Source organism: Homo sapiens, chromosome 10, assembly GCF_000001405.40.
Source record: "Homo sapiens chromosome 10, GRCh38.p14 Primary Assembly".
Taxonomy (NCBI): Eukaryota; Metazoa; Chordata; class Mammalia; order Primates; family Hominidae; genus Homo; species Homo sapiens.
In genome coordinates this window covers 24,594,061-24,619,235 of record NC_000010.11, presented here as the reverse complement: position 1 = coordinate 24,619,235, position 25,175 = coordinate 24,594,061, and the positions used below count along the sequence as shown (strand labels likewise).

Here is a 25,175-nt window from a genome sequence, read left to right as displayed (position 1 = left end):
TTTCAAATTTTTATTTTGATGAAACAAATTCCTGAGATTAAGGAAATCAGCGAAGCAAATTATACCTAATTGTTGATTCAGGTGAATGAAAAACCAAGTGGAACAGTTTTGATAATTAGTTACCAACCTTTCATTTAAACAGTGCTTTTACTTTCTAAAACATATTTCTTTGTAAATTTAACGTGTACTGAGAGAAAAGACCTCTTCATTGTCAAGTTAGTTTGCCATACTATAAATCCTGGAACAGATTTAGAGAAGTTACTTAAATTATAAGCGTGTGCCACAGTTGCCGGCACCTGTCCTGTTGAGTCTTCTGTCTGCTCCCTCCCACCCCAGATCTGTTCTCCATACAGCAGCCAGTGTGATGTTTTTAAAAATGTCAATTAGATCACACCACTCCTCTGTGCAGAACCCTCTGTTTCCTTCCCATTCATCTCACCCAAAATAGCATGCAAAATCCTCCCGTGATCTGAAAGGCCCTCCATGGTCTGCCTCACAACTCCCTCTCTGATGGTGTCAGAGAGATCCTACTTCGTGATCTCCTATCACAATCTTCCATGTGCATCCCATCTGCAGCCTCACCAGCCTCCTTGCTGTCAGGTGTGTGTTGCTACAGGGACAGGTACAGCTGGTTTCTAACCCTGGTATACATTCCACAGATAGTTAACAAGCCTCTGTCTTCCTCATGACATTTGGGTCTCTGCTCAAAGATCTTATCCAAGCAGGCTTTGTGACTCACCTATCTAAAACAGGTATCCCACGCACAGACACAGAAACGGACATTCTCTTCCCTTAAGCTTTTTTATTTATCTTCGTATTACTGTTTCCACTTGACATGTTTTGTTTTTTTGTTACATGTTTCTCAGTAGAACTAAAACATAAACTACATGAGAGCAGAGATTTAAAATCTTTGGTTCACTTTTGTGTCCCTAATGCCTAGAACACTGCGTGGCACATAAAGAATTCACTCAGTAAGTATTTGTTGAGATAATGGCTGAAAGACAATTTTGAAATGCTGGTTAAATGTATAGCACAACAATACAGTTCTCATCATGACTGTGCAGCTCTAAAACATCATCTGCTAACAGGTGATGACTTATGTCCTTAATATTATCTTCATTTTATAAGTGAGAAATTTAAGGTATAGAGAGGCTAAATAACATCTCTAAAATCGCATAGTAAGTGATAAGAGACAGGGTCTCTAGGTTTGCCTCATTCAGCCTCGTCCCAGAGCACAGCTCCAGGGAGCACGCCATTTATATGGAATGCCTGTGAAGAGCGCCCCCTGGAGGCATGCGATGCAGGGGCTTTTTTCCTTCTCTTTTTGCCACCAACCAAGGCCATACTTGTAGTCCCCCTGGTGTCCCATGGGTTTATGAAAAGAGTTCTCCATCATTTTACAATATAATATGCTTCTCTTTGAGTACTAGTTGAGTTTTTCTTTTCTACGGGAACATTTTTAAAGCTGTTGAGGACTGTTGTTTCTTTTCTACGGAAACATTTTTAAAGCTATCAATTGTAAAGCTATTGATAGCTTTAAAAATGTTTCTTGAGAAAACACTTAATTGGATAGGTGACACTAAAAGCTTTTTTAAAAAGTTCCACACAGCTTATGTTTTTTTTTATAAATCGGATATATTCAAGTTGTCAACATTGTGGGGAATCTCAACCTAAATTGTACCCATATTCATATCTATACCCCTAAGGCCAAGCTCAGCAAATAGTAGACTCCTGTTGTAGATGGAATCTTATACATCATCTAGAATAGATATTTTATAGAAGGCAACTGATGACGAATGATTGTTTTATGAAGTTTTAAAATGTAAAAAAATCTTACAACCTGTGGCTGTTTCACAGGCCCATGCGATCTTATCAGAACAGTGGCATCATATTTTCTTCCTACATAATAACAACAATATAATCAGATTACATTGGAGTAGTAAAAAAATGTGCTGGATATATCTGTTAATATTTCTTCCTAGTTATGAAGTATAGAAATAAAACAATTATGTTATTAAAGAGAAGATTTTGGCTAAAATAGAAAATAAAGATCTGTATAATTCTATATACATATAGATTGATGTAAATAAATAATTTTATTTACTAAGAATAAAAGTACTCTCTAATTAGTTCCTATCTTATTTGACTTTCGCCCTCCTTCCCCCGCTGCTCACCTTCTGCTGTGCGGCCCAGCTCCTAACCGGCCATGGACCAGTACCAGTCTGCAGCGCAGGAGTTGAGGACCCCTGCTATATACTAAGGTTGCAGGAGGCATACAGGCATACAAAACAAAATGAATACATTTTGTTTTTAAATTTGGAATATTACTCATTAACAGTATTTTGTTTACTGTTCCCACCCCCCACTTTATAAAGCTGCATAGTAAGTCCTGAAAATAAATTTCAACTTCTTTTATAAGTAAACACAAACCTCAACAATGTGAGCTGTTCATGAGTAATCTCACGGTGAATAGCAGATATTACAATGTGTTCTAAAATCCTGACTTCCTACACTTCTCTAATTTATACCACTCATTACTAGTAATACAAAAATGCTACGACTGTTACCTACACTCAGGGTTTCATCTTAACTTTCTTTCTCCATAGTTTTGTCATATCTCTTAAGACTCCTCCTCCATCTTACCCCAACATTGGCTGCGTGTGTGCTCAGTTGAGGGTTAGCCCTAAGTTAAATTGAATTTGATGGTCACAGCCTTATTGGCACTGCCATATCAAGATGATTTAGAAGTGTTAGATTTGGTAAGATATAGCTGGATTACATTGTCCATACAGGGGAACTTAGCTCCCTGAAATTTACCCAAAGGGAAGAGGTGACCATTCCCTATACCCAGTTTCTCCCTTTGGGAGCTCTGGGCTCAGTGCCAGTGGTGATATGACAGGACGATGCAATGAGCACCCAGCCCTTCTTTAATACTAATTCAGGCTGAGTCTTAGCAAATAGTCTGTTTATAAAGAGAAATCATATACTTTATCATCTTACATCTTTTATAAAGAGAAATCATGTACTTATCATCTTTATATGTCTTTTTCATATATTGGCTTTTCCCAAAAATGTGATGCCATTGGTACTTAAGCTTAGAGATTTTTGCTTCCACTATTTGAGTAACGATGTGAGGTAATTTAAAAAATAATAAAATAGTCCGGGTGCAGTGGCTTGCGCCCGTAATCCCAGCACTTTGGGAGGCTGAGGCAGTCAGATCACTTGAGGTTGGGAGTTCAAGACCAGCCTGGCCAACACAGTGAAACTCCATCTCTACAAAAAAAAATACAAAAATATTAGCTGGGCGTGGTGGGGTGCCTGTGAGCCCAGCTACTTGGGAGGCGGAGGCAGGAGAATTGCTTGAACCTGGGAAGCAGAGGTTGCAAAGAGCTGAGATCGTACCACTGCACTCCAGCCTGGGCGACAGAATAGTGAGACTCCACTCAAAAAATAAAATAAAATAATAAAATAACAAAAACTTATGCCGTGCTTTATAATCTACCACATACTTTATAATGTACCAGTCCTTACCATAACCCAGTGGGGAATTTATGGCAGAATTAATAACCCGTTTTATGGATAAGGAAAGTTAAGTACTTTGCTGAAGCTCTCTCAGAGAACTGACAGAGCCGATTGCCTGTTGGCTGCAAATTTCATATTCTTTGGACAGTGCCTCAAAATGAGCAAAAATTTAAATCTTGGATTTTACTTTTTTAAATCTTAGCTTGAAAAATCATTCTAAGTTTTATGCCGACTATTATTAGCTCAGATCACCCAGGTTTGAATTGGCATCTCTTCCCCATGCTTTTGTCATATCTCTAAGACTTCTCCTCCTCCCTCTTACCCCAACGTTGGCTGTATGTGTGCTCAGTGAGGGTTAGCCTAAGCTAAATTGAATTTGATGGTCATAGCCTTAACGGCACTGCCATATCCAGATGGTTTAGAAGTGTCGAGTTCGTTAACAAAAATGTTCCACCAATAAATAATTTTAGATGCTCTTTTATCTTTTCTTTGATAGTAGCATTAGTTTTTTTTGTTTGTTTTTGAGACGGAATTTCACTTTCGTTGCCTAAACTGGAGTGCAATGACACGATCTCAGCTCACTGCAACCTCCGCCTCCCGGGTTCAAGTGATTCTCCTGCCTCAGCCTCCCGAGTAGCTGGGATTACAGGTGTGCACCACCATGCCCAGCTAATTTTTTGTATTTTTAGTAGAAACGGGGTTTCACCATGTTAGCCAGACTGATCTCACAAACTCCTGACCTCAGGTGATCCGTCCCCCTCAGCCTCCCAAAGTGCTGGGATTACAGGTATGAGCCACCGCACCTGGCCACATTAACTTTTATTCTGAAACACTTTAAATTTCTTTGTAGCACACTTTATAGATTGCTATGCTTATTTATTTAGGGAAATACGTTTTTTTTAAAACCTAGCCGCATTTTTTTTTTTTTTTTGAGATGGAGTCTCACTCTGTCACCCAGCCTGGAGTGCAGTGGCATGATCTCGGCTCACTGCAACCTCTGCCTTCCAGGTTCAAGCGATTCTCCCACCTCAGTCTCCCAAGTAGCTGGGATTACAGGCGTGTGCCACCACACCCGGCTAATTTTTGTATTTTTAGTAGAAACGGGGTTTCACCATGTTGGCCAAGCTGGTCTCGAACTCCTGATCCGCCTGCCTCAACCTCCCAAAGTGCTGGAATTACAGGCGTGAGCCACTGTGCCCTCCCAAAACCTAGCTCTTATAAACTATGAAATTGTTTCACTAAAGTAGACTTTGGAGCCTTTTCACCTAGTTCCTTTAATGTTGAAAATAGACCCAAATCTCAAAAGCCCCCTAACAAATGCCTGGTTTATAAAAACCTAAAAATGTTTTATATGTTTACATAAATTAAATAGATAATTCCACCCCTTTAGTGGATTCGTAATTGTAGGCCTTTTGAACTAGAATTGGCCCTTCTCACTACCCAAGTCCAACTTCTTTATTTTATAGGTAGTGAATGTAATATCCAGAAAAGTTAAGTGGCTTTTGCAAAATCGAACACACCAGGTCTCTTGACCTCCCTACTCAGTCATCCACATTTCTACTCCCTTGCTGCTTTTCTGTGTACTAGAATTGAGAATTAATAATTTTCAAGATAGATTAGTGAAATTGGTGAGCTGATATTTATTAAATTTCTAAGTAAATGTTGAATTTGTTGAAATTGTTACAGCATGTCAGCTGGCAAGCTGGATCATTTTTCATACACACACGCTTGTACACTGGCCCATGGACACACACCCTCACCCCCAGATCTTAAGAGTTCAGTTAACTTGTTTGATCTATGGGACTGCAAAGATTCAGCCAAGTAATTGTAACCTGTTAACCGTGGCAAATCTAGAAGTGATCCTTCCACTTGCCCTTTGTAAAATTAGAGCCCTTGCTGTGCTGACCTGGTGCATGCTTTCTTGTAGATGAGCTGACCATGATATTGTGCACATCCCTGCTTTTGCTCTGATTTTGTCACCTCCCTTTCAAATACCTACTTCACAGTAGTTCCTCTTGGATTTACAACTCCACTCCCTCATCGTCAGCACTGACTGCCATCTTGCCATGGCAAACGTGAATAGGGAATTTATTCAAAATACTCTCCCCTTCCTAACCACTGTAAAACCATTTCTATCTAATAGGGAGATACAGCATTGACCTTTTGGTTATTAAGATAACCAAATCTCCAGATGACTTTGAAGAAGCTGAATGTTAATTTAAATCCATGTTCACAGAACTGACCATTAAAGAAACTTGGTCTTAATTAGAAAATTGAATTCCAGTTACGATAATTAGCTTAATTATTGTAAAAATTGGGAATATTTGAACTAGGTGATGGGCACCCATCACCAGTTCATATAAAACAGGACTTATTGCTTCAAAATTTTTATTTATAATTAGTGAAAAATGTTTAGTGAGCCTACTCAAGGTCTGTTGCTGGGTCAAAGATGAGAAGGCCATGTGAATATATTAGCATCATTTTTAAACATTCTTTCTCCAGGCCTTTTAAATATAATGTAAATGGAGTTGCTCCAGCATGCCATTTTTATCAGCTCTTGTACCTGATGTTCAGTAATTGGTATTAATGGGGCTCATTTAAATTTGCCTAGGGAGTTCAATTTTTTAGGATGTCTTTATTTCATTGGGCTTAACTCTGATTAAAAAAAAAAGTGGCATTGCCAAAGATTAATACATTATTACTTGAAAGAAGGAGCTTATGCTTGACTATTAATAAGATCATTTAACTTTAGCCGTTCACCTCCTTTGATTTAAATTGAGTGTATATCTCAGAAGGCAAATAAAAAGAAAGGATATTTGTCACATTTGAATTTATTTATTTATTTATTTATTTATTTTTGAAACAGAGTCTTGCTCTGTTGCCCAGGCTGGAGTGCAGCAGCCTGATCTCGGCTCACTGCAAGCTCTGCCTCCCGGGTTCATGCCATTCTCCTGCCTCAGCCTCCCGAGTAGCTGGGACTATAGGCGTCCGCCACCACACCTGGCTAATTTTTTTGTATTTTTAGTAGAGACGGGGTTTCACCGTATTAACCAGGATGGTCTTGATCTCCTGACCTCGTGATCCGCCCGCCTTGGCCTCCCAAAGTGCTGGGATTACAGGCGTGAGCCACCACACCTGGCCTGAATTTATTTTTAAGACACAGAATCCATTAGCAATATTTCCTCTCCTTTTCCCTAAGGATGAGGAAAAATCAAGATTTTAAGCGTATTTTGCTTGAGGTATGTCCCTTCTGGTAGGAGTTGGAACAGAAACAGCTTATTCAATTTCCATATTTTGGTAAAAAGATATATACATGCTGTTGCTGTTTTGGAACCACATATATAATTTTAGGTTAGTTGCCATTTCTTTCAACTTATACAAATTTACCCCTCTTTTTGCAATATATAGTTTACTCTGTCATTGAAATAAGTAATAGTGTTAATATTCCTTCAATTATTATGCTGTAATTTGGGGAGGGGTTAGGAATACTACTTCGTAGCAGAGGTGAAATAAAAAGCAGAATTATGTCAGGGAACTGATTATTCTGCCATGGTCTATGCTGAAAATTCTGATAATTTCACTGAGTTACATAAAATTATTGTCAACTATAATCATAAAATATAAAGTACATTAATTATATGCTTCTTTGTAATTATGGTCAGCTGTGAGAAACGTGCCTCATAACTCAGCTCACCTTAGAAGGGACTTTTTTTTGCTCTGTGCCCTAACCTGTAACAGTGGACATTGGGTGTTATGAGAAGACATGCACATTTGTCAGGGTGCTAGAAATGCATTGCCCTCCACATTTATGTTCATCATAATTCTCTTGGTTACAGGGACAGGGCAATTATTTCAAATTAGCTCCTGCCAAGAAGTAATGTTAGCTCACAGGGAAGAACTTCTGTGGTAGACCTGGTTCCATGCATGCCTGGATCCAGATACCCAAGTAATGACATCAAGAGTGAGTTTTTCTTTTTCCTTTTTTTTTTCCTTCTTTTTTCTTTTTTGACATAGAGTCTTGCTCTGTTGCCCAGGCTGGAGTCGGGCAGTGGCGCAATCTCGCTTCACTGCAGCCTCCACCTCCCAGGTTCAAGCGATTCTCCTGCCTCAACCTCCTGAGTAGCTGGGATTACCAGTGTGTGCCACCATGCCCAGCTAATTTTTGTATTTTTAGTAGAGATGGAGCTTCACCATGTTGGCCAGGCTGGTCTCGAACTCCTGACTTCAAGTGATCATCCCACCTTGGCCTCCCAAACTGCTAGGATTACAGGCATGAGCCACCGCGCCTGGCCTGTGAGTCTTTTTTCGTTTTGCTTTCTTCATTCTCAGATTCTTTTTCTCCACATAGTAGAAAAGGTGGCCGTTGGTGACAACTCAACAGTTTACTGATTTCTACAGTTTTTGTTCTCCAAGGATAAGAAGAGAAAGTCCATAGTTTTCTCACTGTCCATGTATTGAATCCTAGAGATACTATTAATATAAGGGGCCCTGACTGCGTGGTTCTCGCCCCTTGGCCAGTCTCTGTGGATTGAGAGGGATAGGCCCTATGGTTGGTCAGGCCTAGATCATGCCCGCCCACAGGAGGGCCAGCCGCTCCTGTGAATCCCACTGAACCTCTGGGATAGACAAGCATAGACACTCTCTGTAGTTATCTTGCGGAACACGAAGAGGAACAAATAGGATGAGAACATCTTAAAGTGAAAATACTTGTCAGTTTATGAGATGAAAAAACAGTTATAAATCACTGTTTCATCTTGCTTTTATTTGATCATTTCAGTAATAGGTTTTTACCAGTATTTTTTACATTTTTATTTGGCTTTTGTATTTCTTCCATGAGTTGTCTTTTCATGTGTTTCGCTCTTTCCACTGTGATTTTAGTGGTCCTTACTTATAAGAACTCTTCATATAGGAGGGCTTCCCTTCTTTCATGCTTTGATATCTGAGAAATTATTATGTAACATGTATGAATTTTCACAATATGAAATCTTTAAGATGTTTTTCTAAAATATTAATTGATAAGCAATAAACAGTGAAAGTTTCCTATTCAGATACGAATAATAAATAGAAACATAATTTGAAATACTCTCCATTTGGAAAAAATCCAAATTGAATAATGGAGTAGATTTTATCTGTGAGGATTATTTACTTTTGGAAAACATTGTTTTCCAAAGCAAAATTTTTGGATATATAGGCCTGTATTTTTTTTTACATGTTAAGGAACAGTAGCCACATTGAATTTTGATGTGTAGCAACTTAGGTGTCCTTCACCGTTCTTTTTATTATAAAGAGCTCTGGGTCTTTTAGTGAAGAAAGTAAATGAAGACTTTTTTTTTTTTTTTTTGTGACAGAGTCCTCTGTTGTCCAGGCTGGAGTGCAGTGGCATGATCTCAGCTTACTGCAGCTCCGCCTCCCGGGTTCAAGCGATTCTCCTGCCTCAGCTTCCCGAGTAGCTGGGACTACAGGCGCGCACCACCATGCCCAGCTAATTTTTGTATTTTTGGTAGAGACAGGGTTTTGCCATGTTGGCCAGGCTGGTCTCGAACTCCTGACCTCAGGTGATCCACCCGTCTTGGCCTCCCAAAGTGCTGAGATCACAGGCGTGGGCACCACGCCTGTCCAAGACCTCGTTTCTTAAGTCAGTTCTTTGATTACGTAGTTTAACACGAATGTTTATGCCACTTAATAAATCTGTAACCCCAGTAGTTCATAAGTATGTTTTGAATGCATTATTTAATGTCTTAATGTAGTATGTGATATGCCTAGGATAAAGATGATTGATTTTCATCTAACAGAATATTTTATTTAAAAATTTAGAAGTCATTTGAAAGTGTGACAGCATGATGCTTTTGAATATATTTGTATATGAGATGAAAAATTTTTGTTTTCCGTTTGGTCAACTAAATAATATGTATTTTTCTACATTGGAAAATAAGATAAATTGGAATTATTCTTGTTTTTACATAATATGCACATTGGTAATAATTAAAGTGTATGTGAAAAGTAGAGTTTTTGAATTTGGATTATTCCTAACGAACACAGTATTTTTAAACCGGTAGAAAAGTCTTTATATTTTCAAAGGGAATCAAGAATTGGATTAGTATAGTCTGTAAATGTGAGGTAATGTAATTGTGTTTACTTTAAAAGTATGTTTAGCTTTTCCTTTTCTCCTTTTAACATACCAGTAAAAGGAATTTATTATAAAGAATGCAACAATACTGAAATGAGTAAGCCCAATGTTAGTCTCTTCTCCCACGCCTTCTCCATTCAGTCCTCCTTTAGAACAGGTGAGTATCTATCCTCCCACCTGTTTTTGCAGACATATCTAAAACTGATTATTTTAATCCAGTGTGTTTCAGAAATGTTCTCCAAAATATAGTAAGTTGGAAGAGATTGAATGAATACCATCAGGAAATCCAGGGACACAAAATTTGAAAATTGTATTTAATGCTTTGCAATAATGCTTAATCCATGCACAATTTGAATTTCACTCTCTTTAGTTTTGCAAGGCATAAAATCATTCTCCTCAAAGATTTATCCCAGTATAATTAAAGATGTATTCATACTGCATGAGTCAGATACTTTTTGAAGAATACAGTGTATTCCTCTTCACATCAGTATTCATTAATCTGTAACAGAATTATGGATCAGCAGACTCTATAAAACCAGGCTGCTTTATATGATGTATCATTTGAAGAAACTTTGTTAAACATGTGCAATTTAAATATCAAAATCAGTTTTAAATACTACAAGTTTTAGTGAAATTAAATTGTTATCCTCATTGAATTTTTAAAACTTCAGTTATCTTCTTGCTTTTGGAAAAAGAATTACTGCATTCTTACTGACATAATAGTAAACTGTCGTATACTTAGTAAAAAGTGGTGCATAGAGAAATTTTCAAAATGTCTTCTCTTCCTAAAATGTAAAGAGCTGCTTTTAAAGAAAGTTGTAAAAACAGAAAATAAGCTAAACACAGTTAGAATTTACTGATTTTGGCCATAAAATGGAAATGTTATATTTTTGTAACATTATCAGTCCTCTTGATTAAAATCCTGATAATATGGTACAGCATCCTTAGAATTTAATCAAAATTAAAATAGCTGGACCTTTTAAATCCAGGCATCAAAATCCTGGTTTATCATTGTAGTATATTCTTTAACAGGTTTTATTCTGGGGCATTTAATTTTAAGGATTATCGTTCCAGCATCCTATTGAATTACATTTCTTGGCCTCAAGTATTAGAATTTAAATCACTGATGTTTTTATAAGAGTAAGAATTTTGTGCAAATGGCCCTGGAAACTTATTTTGGAAGCTAGAGACTGGACTTTGTCTTTTCAAAAATTGAGATACACTTGTGTAGGGATGAGGCGGGGATACGGTTTTAGGAATTAATGCTTTGAAAACTGAGCCTCAGCCAATCACCTTAATTTCCTGAAGTGATAATCTGTGGTACATTTAAAATTTGAAAAGTAATTCTTTCAGGGTGTTACATGATTATTGCTCTGGTTTGATGGGTTTAGGTTCGAGGTACCTATAAACTTTAGTACCTTGACAATCAGTTAGTGAAGGCATTAATTGGTTGGTAGAGCAGCTCATTTAATTTCTTACACCATATTCTCAGAATTATTTAGAATTACTAGAGTAATAACTGTAAATCAATTTTTAGCAGACTGAATAGGTCATTTAGTGATGTGCTTTGGTGGTGAAGTGTTAAAATCCTTATCTGACCCCCTTAATAATGATTATTGACTGAGTTTTATTATTAATAACAATTAGGTCATTGAACATTCTGATTTTCCTTTTTTCTTACAGATGAACCAACTAGCCCTAGCATTGATCATGATATTGCACATATCCCTGCCTCTGCTGTTATATCAGCCTCTACCTCTCAGGTCCCCTCCATAGCAACAGTTCCTCCTTGCCTCACAACTTCAGCTCCATTAATTCGCCGTCAGCTCTCACATGACCACGGTACGTCTAAAGGGTGGTTTTGTAAACCGTATCTCATGCTCTGTTTTCCACTTAGAATAGTATGATAAACTGATGTTTCCACCGTTAAAAGAATCTGGGAACCACTTGTGAATGTCTAAATATTGGATTTTAATTAATTACAGAATCTGTTGGCCCTCCTAGCCTGGATGCTCAGCCCAACTCAAAGACAGAAAGATCAAAATCATATGATGAGGGTCTGGATGATTACAGAGAAGATGCAAAATTGTAAGTCTCGGGTGTATTATTTTAAATATTTGTATGTGGGTGGGTGTTCAGCATGACCTTGACACATAAGTTCAGAATTTAATGATGTCTTATGTTTTCTAACTTTGACATTAGAAATGCAAATAAATAAAGTTGTTAATGGTAACATTAAATTGAATTTTAAAAATCAGTAACACACAAACATGGTAGAAAAATATGTTAAATACTCTCATCCTAGAAACTGCAGCCATTCAGTACTATTCAGACATAATATGTTACTGTTTTCTTTTGTGTAATTCTAGAGCTATTCTATACATAAAATCATATGTACACTACCTAAATATGCATATATGTGTGTGTACTGTATTCTAATTATTTTTACAAACAAATGACACATGGTATAGACACTGATCTTAGAGATCCTTAAATGCATATAGTCCTGGCTCATGCTGTTTCATGATTTTTTAATTTTCCATTGAATAGTTTATACCATAATATACTTAACCAATACTCTATATTAATAGACATTTATATTGATCAAATCTTATGCTATCACAAATACTTCATTGACTATATTGTACAGAGTTCGGTTAGCACATGTGAATAAATATAATCGAAAACAGGATTCTTACATCAAAGGGTATGTCTATTTTTATTTATTTTAAAAATTTATTTATTTTTGAGACATTTTGCTCTTGTTGCCCAGGCTGGAGTGCAATGGTGCGATCTCGGCTCACTGCAGCCTCCACCTCCCGGGTTCAAGCGATTCTCCTGCGTCAGCCTCCCAAGTAGCTGGGATTACAGACATGTGCCACCTAAGTTTGTATCTTAGTAGAGACCGGGTTTCACCATGTTGGTCAGGCTGGTCTCAAACTCCTGATCTCAGGTGATCCACCCACCTCGGCCTGCCATATTTTTAATTTTAATATCTATTGTTAATTGCTGTCCATAAAAATTATACCAAACCACATTCCCACCAACAATATAGAAAAGCCTCTGCTGTTACACTCTAACACAGTGTATTGTTTGATACATATATTTTTAATTATTATAATGGCATATTGCAGTTTTAATTTGACACTTAGCAGTTGAACACCATTTCGTATATTTAAGATATTTATATTTTTCTGTGAACTGATTTTTTATATTTTTTGACTATTTTCTATGGATTCTTCTGACTTCTGCATCCTTTTTATATAAAGAAAGCTAACATTTTTCTGTGATGTGTTGCAAGTCTTTCCTAATTCAATATTTTTCATTTTTTTTAAACCATGCAAAAATATTTAAAATTTTTTCTGTGGCTAAATTTAGGAAATATTTGTGGACTTTGAATTTTGAGTCATATTGTATCAAAAAATTCTGTCACTACTCCAGAATTATAACAAAATTTATGTTTACTTTTTATTTTTTTGTAAACTTTGACTCATCTGGAATTAATTTATTCAAATTAGATAAAGAGACAACTTTACATTTTCTAATATCTCTATTGTCCCAAAAGTACCTGTTGAATGTCATCCTTTTCCCACCGATGATACATCATCTTTATTATATACTAAGTCATATGTATTTAATTTTATTGTGGGGCTCTATTCTATTCAGTTGATTTATCTGTGTATTAATGTACACGAGGTTCTATTAATTATGGTAGTTTTATAATGTCTGTCTTACCTGGTAAGGCTATTATTTTATGTTTTTTCAGAATTCTCCTGGCTATTTTTATTTTAGTATTTGAACCTTAAAATCAGATTTTCTAGTTCTTGAATTCTTATGTACATTTTCATTGATACAATGATTAATTTATAAATTAACTTGGGGAGTACTCACATCTTTATGATACTGAACCTTATGTTAAAGAACTATTTGTCTTTTTTGTTATCTTTGCATACAGTCCTCTGAGGGTTCCATTTGGTTATTCTTTATATTCCAATAAAAGTAGTTCTTTCTGGAGCAGCTACTTGAGGGAGGTTTGTGTGAGGCTAGCAGGGCTTGCTTCCAGGGTAGCAGGAATTTTCCTAAAGATACAGGGTTGGATTTGTGAGCTATTTTAGCCTTTATTTCTTCCTCATTATAAGGTATCAAAAACTGCCGTTATTTCAGAGTCTACTGCACCCTACACCAACTACACACTGTTTCCTGCAAAGATGGCAGGACTGTATGTTTCCTCATTCTCCTCTGATACTCCATGGTAACAAATGAGGCTCCTGTCACCAGCTTCAGCACACTATTTTCCATTGTTCCAAACAAGGGATGGGTTGGTTTCAATCTCTCAGAAATCAATGTAGTGCAGTTTTGAGATCTGCAAGTGATCGGTGCCCTGTTCTTTCTTCCCGTATCCATTGTTTACTTCACTGCAGTTAGCCACCCTTCTTTGTATGGTATAGTTCAGAGTTACAGTGTCTTCTGATATGGTTGAAGATTGAGTTTGCATATCTTTCTGATTACATTGTTGTTTGAGGGGGAGGTTTCTGAGAGGAGAAAACAGTGACACCTTTAGTAACATCTTAAAACTCTAAGTTTCTTAAATGAATTTTGAGTTTAAAAAAAGTTTATTGTCCCTTAATAAAAGTTAAATTATTTTCGATTACTTTAACATGAACCTGTCTCCTGAAGCTCTAAGCCTGTTCAGTGGCAACAGTTGTCCTTCTTTTTGAAAGCAGTCATAATGTGGTTAGAGTAGAAGAGTGAAGGGCCAGGACTGTCTGTAACTGTGCCCTCCCTGCCACATTTCCAGTTCAGGGTATCCACCAGCAGGATGAGTGGAGATGACAGGGAGCATCTCCCTGAAGCTGGCTGCTAATGGCAACTGCTTACTGATCATAATTAACATCATGGAAATCCTTAATATAGCATTGCAGCTACAGTTAACTAATAACATAAAACCCAGTGTTCAGCCTGAGTAGCTTTTTCTTTGATAAAAAAAAGAAAATCCCACACTTCAAGCAGAAACAATTTTAATTTACCAGATCAATTAAGAAAGTTTTAATTATTAGGTGGAACATTTTTTATAAAATTAGCTTTTTTTCTCTTCCATTGAATAGTGGACATTTAACATGATAATGATGAAATGTCAGATTATTATTGAAAGAGTAATTGTAATATTCAAATTATTCTTACATCTTTAAGATTTTTTTTGCACTAATTGAAAATATTTATATATTTTTTCCCCAACAGGTCCTTTAAGCACGTATCTAGTCTGAAGGGAATCAAGGTTGGTATTAGAGTGTTTCTACTTACCTTAGTTTATCTCTTCATAGAGAAGTACTTCTTTTACCCAGTAGACATTTAATATTTAAATATTATAATCTTTTATTCTGTAAGTATGTAATACTTGATACACATTGTGCTGATTTTTCTGACTTTATCAGTTCAAGGCCCAGCAGTCCTAACTGCCCAGCAGCCCTTTTTGTATTTTGTTGTATGCTTTTCTATCCTGGAAATTATTTTGTGGCTTCCCCCCAACACCCCCCACCCCACCCCTGTTCTCTTTCTTCTCCCTCCCCTCATACTTCCCTGAAAACATAGAAACTATTAGACAGGAATTTCCTTATTTATCATCCCCAAAAATATCAGTTTCCTGCCTTTTTCAACCTCCACCTCCCGGGTTCAAGCGATTCTCCTGCCTCAGCCTCCCAAGTAGCTTGAGATTACAGGCGCCTGCCATGCCTGGCTAATTTTTGTATTTTTAGTAGAGATGGGGTTTTGCCATGTTGGCCAGGCTGGTCTCGAACTCCTGACCTCAGGTGATCTGCCCGCCTTGGCCTCCCAAAGTGCTGGGATTACAGGTGTGAGCCACCATCCCCAGCCAGTCCCCTGCCTTTATACCCACACTTGCTGCCTTCCTTATTCTTACCATAAATATTGCTGTGCTTGTACCATTATCCTATTAAAAACCAACCCCCACACTTCTTCGGATTCTCTTGCCTCTCACTTCCTCGGTGCCCTTCTGCACAGTCACCATTTTTCCAGTGACTCATTCACTCACTGTTGTCTGCACCCATGTTCTATTTCCTACATTAAAATAGAAACCTTCCTGGAATCCACATCCTGCTTTATTCACTACTCCTTTTCACAGCAGAACCCCTTGAAAAAACTATAGTTTCTACTTCTTCTCAGCCCACACACATCAGAACAACACTGACATTCAGGTTCCAAAACTAATGGTTAACCTTGGTTTTTAACTTCCTAGAGCCCTCGCTGGTATTCAACACAATTTCTGGCTCCCTTCCTGAAACACTTTCTTCTGCTGGCTTCCATCTTGCCACACTTTCTTGCTCTTCCTTCTAACTGAAAGACTACTTCTCCATCCCCTCTGCAGGCTCTTTTGCTCCACCTGATATTTAAATGTTGGAATGCCTAGAGTTGTTCTGACCCTTCTTTATCTACCCCGATTTCCTCAGTGATCTTATGCAGAGGTCTCCCAAAGTTTACATGGCTATCCTTGACCTCCTTCCTGAACTGCAGCTGGTGTCAGCTGCCGTCACTTGGATGTTTAATCAGCAACTCAAGGTTTACGTGATGATTAGACCGCAGTTACCCCCAGACTTCCTTATCCCTTAGTTTTCCCCATCTCATTAAGTTCACTTCCATTCACCTTCTTGATGAAGCCAAGTATTTCAGAACTAGCCTTGTTTCTTCTTTTTCACTTTCCCCCATATCAATTCCAGACTACCCTGAATCTTCCCGTCTTCACCTATACTACTTAAATCCAAGCTGCCGTCATCTTTCACCTGGATTCCTATAGTCACAGCTCTTTTCACGCGTGTCCCTTTAGAATCCACTCTTGACAGAGTACTCAGAGTGAGCTTTGAACTGGGTGATCAGTTACTCCCCCGATTCATCACTTAATGCTTCTTTCACACTTCCTACCATGGCCTAGAAGACCCTTAATGACCTAGAATTAGCTGTTTATTGATCACATTAATCAGCGAACATTTAAAGTGATAATGATGATATACAGTCAGTAGCTGTACATTCTCATCAAACTCTCTTCCCTCTGACCTTTTATGGCTGGCTCCTTATTTTTCCTCCAAATTTCAACAAAATATTATTTCTTCAGAGTAGCCCTGCCACCTCATCACCAGGTTCTAGCTGCTTCTCAGCCATTCGTTATTGCATCTTGCCGTTTTCATTCTTCAAATAACATAAATCACAAACGGATCATTTTCTCATTTTTCACTAAAATGTGAACTAATAAGAACAGGAAAATTACGTCATTTGTTATTTTTAATGGTTAAAAAATGATAATTCACATTTTTTAAATGAGACTAGAAATTTTTAAAAAGATAAAGTTAGGATTTTTCAAAAATAGCCCTTCACTTGAAACATTAAATAAAGTTTTCCACAAAGCAGTTTCCATGTGCAAATATTTATAAAGGAAAATGCTGACATTTTACTGTTTTCTTGGTCTTTTCTATAGATCGCAGACAGCCAAAAGTCATCAGAAGACTCTGGGTCCAGAAAAGATTCTTCCTCAGAGGTCTTCAGTGATGCTGCCAAGGAAGGGTGGCTTCATTTCCGACCCCTTGTCACCGATAAGGGCAAGGTAGTGTGTTTTCTAAGCCACCCTGAGTGTCAGAAATGCAGACCCTGACAAATAAACCATAAAGCCTGTATACATAAAATGGCATGATATCCAGATTAAAGAGTGAAAAAAAAAACCATTTATAAATAGATTTTTCTACATTAAAAAAAGTATTCCTTAAAAAAATTCTAATTATTGCATTAATTTGGTACTTTTTGTCCTGTGTATCAGCTACATGTAGAATATATTGTCTTACGTTTTGGCAATGTAAAAAGGAAATCTAAGTATTTAAAAAGGAACTCTGCTTTTCTTATTAGTTTATTAGCAATGGGTTATTCCGTTGTCCTTTAGGAAGTGGCAAATCAGTTTTAAATTTTTATGTCTCTTTTCTTAGTTTATTTTAAATTACCTTTATAACTTTGTTTCATTTTATTTTAAAAATATTAAGTTAAACAAATATAAAAATATCAATATATGCATCCAGTAGATTTCAACAGAAAAAGACTTTGCCATAAAAATTTTCTATAATATTTGGACAGCTTATATATAAGAACATTTTAATGCTGTCAGAAGAGTTTAAAAATTTTAAGAAAGCTCACTTTGGATGTGGATAGAGTTGCTTAGCCATATAAAGTTGATGAACTCTGTTAATTAGTTATGTATACAATTGTTGGAGAACTCCTGCAGTATCTGTCATTTGTGTGCTCTAAGACGTAAGTCTTTCACTCAACAGGTTTTTTGGACCGATTTTTAAATTTTCTATTCCGTTACTGTTTTTGATATGTTTTGCTACATTTATTTTATTTGATTAGCTTTGTTCATATTGCCTTCCCAACTAAAGTTGGGATTTCACAGTCCTTGACTTTGATATGAATACACTGCCTAACTCAGTTTATGCTCCACAATTTTTATCCTTCCTCTCCTCACAAATAATGTAGTGAGCTAAATCTGCCACCTGCTACACTAGTTATATGTAAATGCAGAGGAAGGGTGTTGCTTAATGTGCTTATCCTGTCACAAAGATTTAGCCAAATATTGACTATTAAAGAACTGTCGCATGTTTTCTAGCGAGTTGGTGGAAGTATTCGGCCATGGAAACAGATGTATGTTGTCCTTCGGGGTCATTCACTTTACCTGTACAAAGATAAAAGAGAGCAGACGACTCCGTCTGAGGAAGAGCAGCCCATCAGTGTTAATGCTTGCTTGATAGACATCTCTTACAGTGAGACCAAGAGGAAAAATGTGTTTCGACTCACCACGTCCGACTGTGAATGCCTGTTTCAGGCTGAAGACAGAGATGATATGCTAGCTTGGATCAAGACGATCCAGGAGAGCAGCAACCTAAACGAAGAGGTGGGTGTTCAAAGGAATGCTGGAGAAATCTGACCCTTTCACAACACTTTCTTACAAAGATCTAAGGAATATGATATATCATTTTTATAAAAAAATTATAATGTGCTATTTTCATGTAAAACAGTTGATGAAAAGGAAAACTCAAACATACCTGTTTTATATTATTTTCACACATTGGAAAATCACCATCACTGAACTAGAAAAATAGGTTATTTATATATGCTGTATACCTTCTCAGAAGCAATGAACTACATTCCTAGTCCTGGTTGTTTGTGACCAAGTTATTCCAGATCCATTTCCATCTTTCAAAGACAGGATTGTTGTAGGGCTTAAGTTACAGTAAAAATACTTACCAGTATAAATAACTATATAAATGCAGAGTGATACTGATGATTTTTGTTAAGAGAACTATACAGTCAAGAATATGGAATAGCCTACTGTCACACAATAGTTAGTTTCTAAGAAAACTTGCATTTTCAAAAATCATAAGTCAGCTTTTTTTTTTTTTTTTTTGAAACGAAGTCCTGCTCTGTTGCCCAGGCTGGAGTGCAGTGGCGCGATCTTGGCTCACTGCAAGCCCTGCCTCCCGGGTTCACACCATTCTCCTGCCTTAGCTTCCCCTGTAGCTGGGATGACAGGCAGCCGTCACCATGCCCGGCTAATTTTTTGTATTTTTAGTAGTGATGGGGTTTCACCGTGTTAGCCAGGATGGTCTCTATCTCCTGACCTTGTGATCTGCCCGCCTCGGCCTCCCAAAGTGCTGGCATTACAGGCGTGAGCCACCGCGCCCGGCCCAGCATTTCTTTTTCATGCAGAACAGTGTTTAGGGATTTGAGAATTTACAGCTTATGATCATCAAGGTATTTTCACAGTAGGAATTTCAATAGTAAAGATAGTTTTTAAAGTATGTATAACTATAAACTTTATCAAGCAAATCTAGCAATGATGAAGTAGCAGTTGCTCAAGTATTTTCTTATCATTAACACAGTTTTTTCTTCACTGTGTTCTCACTTTTCATGCCTATTTATTATAACCAAAAAAGGGGCACGAAGTTCTCTTTTAATACTCAGGAATGCCTACATTAAATGTAAACTTATGCAAATTATGTTCTAATTTAGTCATTTCCATTATATCCAATTCAAAGTATTAAAACGTTACACCATAGGAAAAGTGTGCTTTTTTTCCTTTGGTAGTTTACACTCTGCCTTGTTTGTGGTTAAAAATAACACCAGATCTTTATCAGTGCAACCTATGTTGTACAACTACCCGCTATACAGAGGGCATCAGACCTGAATTTTTGCAAAATAAACAGGGAGAATAAGAACTTAGATGTGGATTTCAGCTTTAAGTAATAGTTCAGAGGAGTTCTGTGTAACAGGCACCTACTATGTGTCAGGCATTCTCTCAGGCAGTAGACTGTCATTGTTAAAACTCCTTCAGATGACTTGTTCTGTGACACATAGTGGCTGTTTGGAGGATTGAATGAGATAATGCATGTGAAGAATGCCTGCCAAGTAATAAACATTTACTTAATGTGAGCTATTAGCATCACCATCTAATCTTAAGACACAGGTACACAAGTATTTTCCCCAGTTTTATAGATGAGAAAACAATAATTCACTGAGCACATACCATATGGCAGATACTATTTTAAACATACTACATGCATTAATCTCAGCAACCATATGAATGTGTCCTATTATCATCACCACCATTCTAAAAATAAGGAAACAGTGGCAAAGAGAGGCTAAATAATTTCCCTAAGGTCACACAGTGACTTAAGCATCAGGGGTAGGATTTAAATCCAGGCAGTCTTATTCTAGATCTTAATCATATGATCTCTCAGCTGATAAGTTGGAAGAGTCTATTTAAATTCAAGATAACTTACTCCCGTATTTAAAGACTGTATTCTTTGTAAACTGTATCATCATTCACTATCATCAAAATGAGGCAAGTTAAAAAAAATTGAGAACCCCAGTCAATATCAATGTATAATTGGAATGAATAGGAAAAAAAGGATCACTTTATGGTCAACTCTGGGTTTACCATATAGCATTTCATACAAGGTAACTCACAGAGGTTAAAAAAAAATCATGCAAATTTTGAGCTTTTCTCTTATCTTCTGATAATGTAACTGCCGCTTGTGATACTAGTTGATCCTTGGTTTCACTATCCTTAAAAATTAGTCAGTCACTAACAAATTCTGGCAGTCTGTTTTCATCTTTTATCCACCTATATTATTTGTTTTTCTTTTTGAAGAAAAATCACTTACACGTATATTTCTTAAATGCTGATCATTCTTTCTGGTATTAGAGAAAACACTGGCTGCTTCCTAGTCATTTATTTTAAATGGACGGATCAATTCAATAAGTATTGAACACATGTTACTTGCTGGTACTATCCTAGGTATCGCATGGATACAGAAAAGAAGCAAAACCCTTTGGCAATGTTGGGAGGCACTTGGAAAATCTTTCACACAGTGATGTTGAATAGAAGCTTTGAAACAGCTCCACTGAGAACAGATGATAGTAGTGTTTGTGTTAAATAAGCAAAGCAGTACAATAGAAAGCCTCAAAAAAGTAAGGATCACTTATTTATGTTTAGAATTGATTTTCTAATTTTACTTTATTCTGTAGGACACTGGAGTCACTAACAGGGATCTAATTAGTCGAAGAATAAAAGAATACAACAATCTGATGAGGTGAGAATCCCACCTTGCCTGCAGTTAATTTGGATATAAAATCAGTACAGTCATCCCCCTTATTTGCAAGGATACATTCCAAGACCCCCAGTGGATGCTTGAAACCGCAGATAGTACCAAATCCTCTCTACGCTATATTTTTTCCCATATAGTAATGGGCGGGTAGTGTATACAGTGTGGCTACTCGGGATGAAAGGATGATTCTTATTCTGGGCAGGACTACAAAATTGAAAGCTTATGAATTGTTTATTCCAAGAATTTTCCAGTTAATATTTTCAGACCATGGCTCACCACGGGTAACTGAAACCATAGATAGAGGGGGATTACTGTAATTGTTAACAAATGTCATTTCCTTCAACAGCAAAGCAGAACAGTTGCCAAAAACACCTCGCCAGAGTCTCAGCATCAGGCAAACTTTGCTTGGTGCTAAATCAGAGCCAAAGACTCAAAGCCCACACTCTCCGAAGGAAGAGTCGGAAAGGAAACTTCTCAGTAAAGGTATTGATGTTAGCTTTCTAACAAATAAATATAATGATTTAAAATTGGCATCGTTGAGGTACGTTTATGTTTTCTGTACCATTTCTACTGACCAGGCCCCATGTCAACTAGCTCAAAATTCATAGTAGGCTTGGTCTGGGCTCATTGGGCCTTTCCCTTTGTGAGGCCCAAGACACCAGCTTCATTATAAAGCGAAAGTGAGGGAAAATACAAACAATACTTAAATCAGAGACATTACAAATTTAAATGACTCCGAGGATTCAGGTCCTATCATTTTGAAATAAAACTATTACTTTTCCCTTTGTTGAAGTCTCACTATAAAGATGACACACTGATTCTATGTAGTTTTTTTTTTTGCTGTTTTAAAGAAAATTATAGCACGCATTATAAAAGAATGAAGTAAAAGTTATATGGAAGAGAACATATTTTTGTTAAATATAGGATGTATTATTTATATTACAGGACTTGGATTTATGTAAACATTGATAAAGTGTTTTTAAAGTCATGATTTAGACACTCATTTCCATTTTATTATGTTGTTTTATTTTGACTGGCAATCAAAAGATGATACCAGTCCCCCAAAAGACAAAGGCACATGGAGAAAAGGCATTCCAAGTATCATGAGAAAGACATTTGAGAAAAAGCCAACTGCTACAGGAACTTTCGGCGTCCGACTAGATGACTGCCCACCAGCTCATACTAATCGGGTAGGAGACACCAGCCCACCGGATTTCCTCAAGTCATTAATTCAGTTTTGATTATAATGGGATCTGAGTATATAGCCTTTCAGACAACAGAGACTGTCAATCTGTTTTCCTTTTCATAGCAGACCTTAGTTTCCCTAAGTATTTCTGACCTGTAATGCTTTTTTTCTAATGTATTGACTCCGAAATTGAATAATTATTCAACCATTAGGAATTTGTCTGAAATGGTCTGTAAGAATTCGTCTTCAAATCGTGTGTTTCTGCTTTTAGCATTTTAAAACAAGGATGAGAACAAGGACCTGATTAAGAAAGTATAATACATGTAAATGTATGTGCATATATTTAAAACACCCATGCTAGGATTCGTATCATGAATTGATATTACTCTCTCCTCCTCTTTTCTTGACTCTTTATTCAGCGGAACGGTTTCCACATTCTCTTTACCTGTTGTTACTTCCTTTTTAGAATGTTATCTCTCTGGGGGTCCCTCTCTTTCTTTCAGTCTCTTTGTTCTCTTCTTACTGTCTCAAATATCTCTTGCAGGTTTTATCTATTCCCAGATCTATAATGTCTGTATTCTTTATATTACATAACAGCAATTTATGTTTCCTTTTGGATGAAAGGGGCATTTTAGCTGTGATATACAACTACTAAACATTTGTGCTGCATTAAATAAAATGTTTATTTCTTGTTTTGCAGTATATTCCATTAATAGTTGACATATGTTGCAAATTAGTTGAAGAAAGAGGTCTTGAATATACAGGTATTTATAGAGTTCCTGGAAATAATGCAGCCATCTCAAGTATGCAAGAAGAACTCAACAAGGGAATGGCTGATATTGATATACAAGATGATGTAAGTTTGCTTATTTGAATAACTGATCCTTTTTTTTCCCCCTTTGGTGGAACTGGATATGAAAATACTATATTTCTATTTTGTACACCTAGAAATGGCGAGATTTGAATGTGATAAGCAGTTTACTAAAATCCTTCTTCAGAAAACTCCCTGAGCCTCTCTTCACAAATGGTGAGTTAACTCCCGTGAAAGATACCAGATGAAATGGTTCAAGTTACAATTGGAAAACCATAGAATATTAAATTGAACAAGGACAAAATGTCTTGGTCAAAGGAAGCAGGAGGCTTTATTTAGTTCTCCCTCATATATTAAAAACATAAAAGTTATTTAGGTTCAGTGAAATATGTATTATCTTGTTCATACATGTTTGCAGCCAAATTAATATTATTGTTTCCAGTCAAATGGCTTCTGACATCATAAGGTACAATGAGTAGAAAAATGTTTTTTCAGTCAAGCCAAGTATTTAAGTGCCATGTAAGACACTTTACTAGATGTTGTTGGAGGGTGGGGGAGGAATGGACAGGCTGTGTAAATATAGGATGGTTCCTGCAGGGAACTTACATTTTAGAAATTTACATTTCAAAACTATTAGAACTCTTTCCTATGTTGTGGTTTAAAATTGATCCTTAAAGGGAAACTAGATTACAATTCACCTAGGCAATTTAAGATAAATTTGTTTTATTGTTCTTGTCGTCAGATAAATATGCTGATTTTATTGAAGCCAATCGTAAAGAAGATCCTCTAGATCGTCTGAAAACATTAAAAAGACTAGTAGGTATTATTTTATATTTTGGGGGATACAACTAAAATTCAGCCTCTGAATCCATTGTGAAAATAATCTGTTTCAGATTCACGATTTGCCTGAACATCATTATGAAACACTTAAGTTCCTTTCAGCTCATCTGAAGACAGTGGCAGAAAATTCAGAAAAAAATAAGGTATGTAAAATGCTTATTGAAGAAATGTACTTTTAGTGGCTTTAGTTTAAAAGATATGCTTCATTACTTCATGCCAAATAGTCAATAAAAGGTTTGTAATTCAACATCAAACTGGGTAAGTCCTTCTTAAAATTGTTTTTAAAAGCAAAAGATCCCAAAATACCAGTTGTCACCATTTTAAAAGGATATTTTAAAAGATTTCTTTTATGGTTATTCAGTAAGAAAAATGAAAAAGTCAGAAATTTTACTTCTCTCATTTTTTAGCTGTATATCAATATTTTGAAGAGGTAACATATGCATACGCTACAACAGTCAAAAGGCCAAATAGAATACAGGGAAAACAGACATAAACAGATAAGTCATTTTCATTCCTTTTAACACCACCACATTTTCTTTGTCAAACACAACAAAATATATTCTTTATATTGTCTAATATTCAGTTCACATTCAGTTTTTCTTTTTTTTAAATTATATTAGAGACAGGGTCTCACCATGTTGCCCAGGCTAGTCTCAAACTTCTGGGCTCAAGCAATTCACCTGCCTCCCAAAGTGCTGGGATTATAGGCATGAGCCACCATGCGCAGCCCCATTCAGTTTTTCTTGATTGTAAAAGTGTCTTTGTAGGGTTATTTGCTTAAGTCAATATCCAAACAAGGTCTACACATGGTATTTGGTTGACAGGTTGTAGTCTTAACTTAGTTTTTTGATGATTATTGCCTAAATCCATTATATCATCAGAGATTTTAAAATGATGATTTTCTAACTCAAGGGCATTACTTCTTAAAGTACTGAAGCAGTCGTTTTAATTTCTGGAGAAGAAAATAAAAGAATACCACAAGCTCAGGAATATTGCTGACAGTCTTTTCTGAGTGATTTTTCCTTAAGGTAG

The 25,175-nt window shown here is 36.5% G+C and overlaps 1 protein-coding gene across 28 annotated transcripts in view, besides 1 other annotated feature; it reads left to right on the top strand.

Annotated features, from left to right (window-relative positions):
* ARHGAP21 (Rho GTPase activating protein 21) overlaps positions 1 to 25,175 on the top strand; it is a 140,274-nt gene that overhangs the window by 104,652 nt on the left and 10,447 nt on the right. For 18 of the 28 annotated variants that reach the window (NR_160021.1, NR_160022.1, NR_160023.1 and 15 more), the window contains 12 exons: positions 11,333 to 11,491; positions 11,635 to 11,737; positions 14,888 to 14,924; positions 17,133 to 17,258; positions 18,306 to 18,590; positions 21,227 to 21,291; positions 21,653 to 21,789; positions 22,354 to 22,496; positions 23,193 to 23,348; positions 23,441 to 23,519; positions 24,046 to 24,119; positions 24,197 to 24,286. Coding sequence is in view for 23 of the 28 variants with exons in the window: in XM_047425561.1 (XP_047281517.1) it covers positions 11,333 to 11,491; positions 11,635 to 11,737; positions 14,888 to 14,924; positions 17,133 to 17,258; positions 18,306 to 18,590; positions 21,227 to 21,291; positions 21,653 to 21,789; positions 22,354 to 22,496; positions 23,193 to 23,348; positions 23,441 to 23,519; positions 24,046 to 24,119; positions 24,197 to 24,286 (1,454 nt within the window). In the remaining 5 variants the exon portion in view is untranslated. Of the gene's footprint in view, positions 1 to 9,704; positions 9,807 to 11,332; positions 11,492 to 11,634; positions 11,738 to 14,887; positions 14,925 to 17,132; positions 17,259 to 18,305; positions 18,591 to 21,226; positions 21,292 to 21,652; positions 21,790 to 22,353; positions 22,497 to 23,192; positions 23,349 to 23,440; positions 23,520 to 24,045; positions 24,120 to 24,196; positions 24,287 to 25,175 lie in introns of all 28 variants that reach the window. The other 10 variants (XM_011519605.3, XM_011519607.3, XM_011519602.3 and 7 more) reach the window with 2 other exon arrangements.
* Positions 6,589 to 6,778: a silencer, noted in NCBI's record as "fragment chr10:24901387-24901576 (GRCh37/hg19 assembly coordinates)". NCBI's record gives its function as "represses an EF-1alpha promoter that drives an FKBP-Casp9 reporter gene in an ReSE screen in HepG2 liver carcinoma cells {active_cell/tissue: HepG2}" and the evidence as "EXISTENCE:reporter gene assay evidence [ECO:0000049][PMID:32094911]".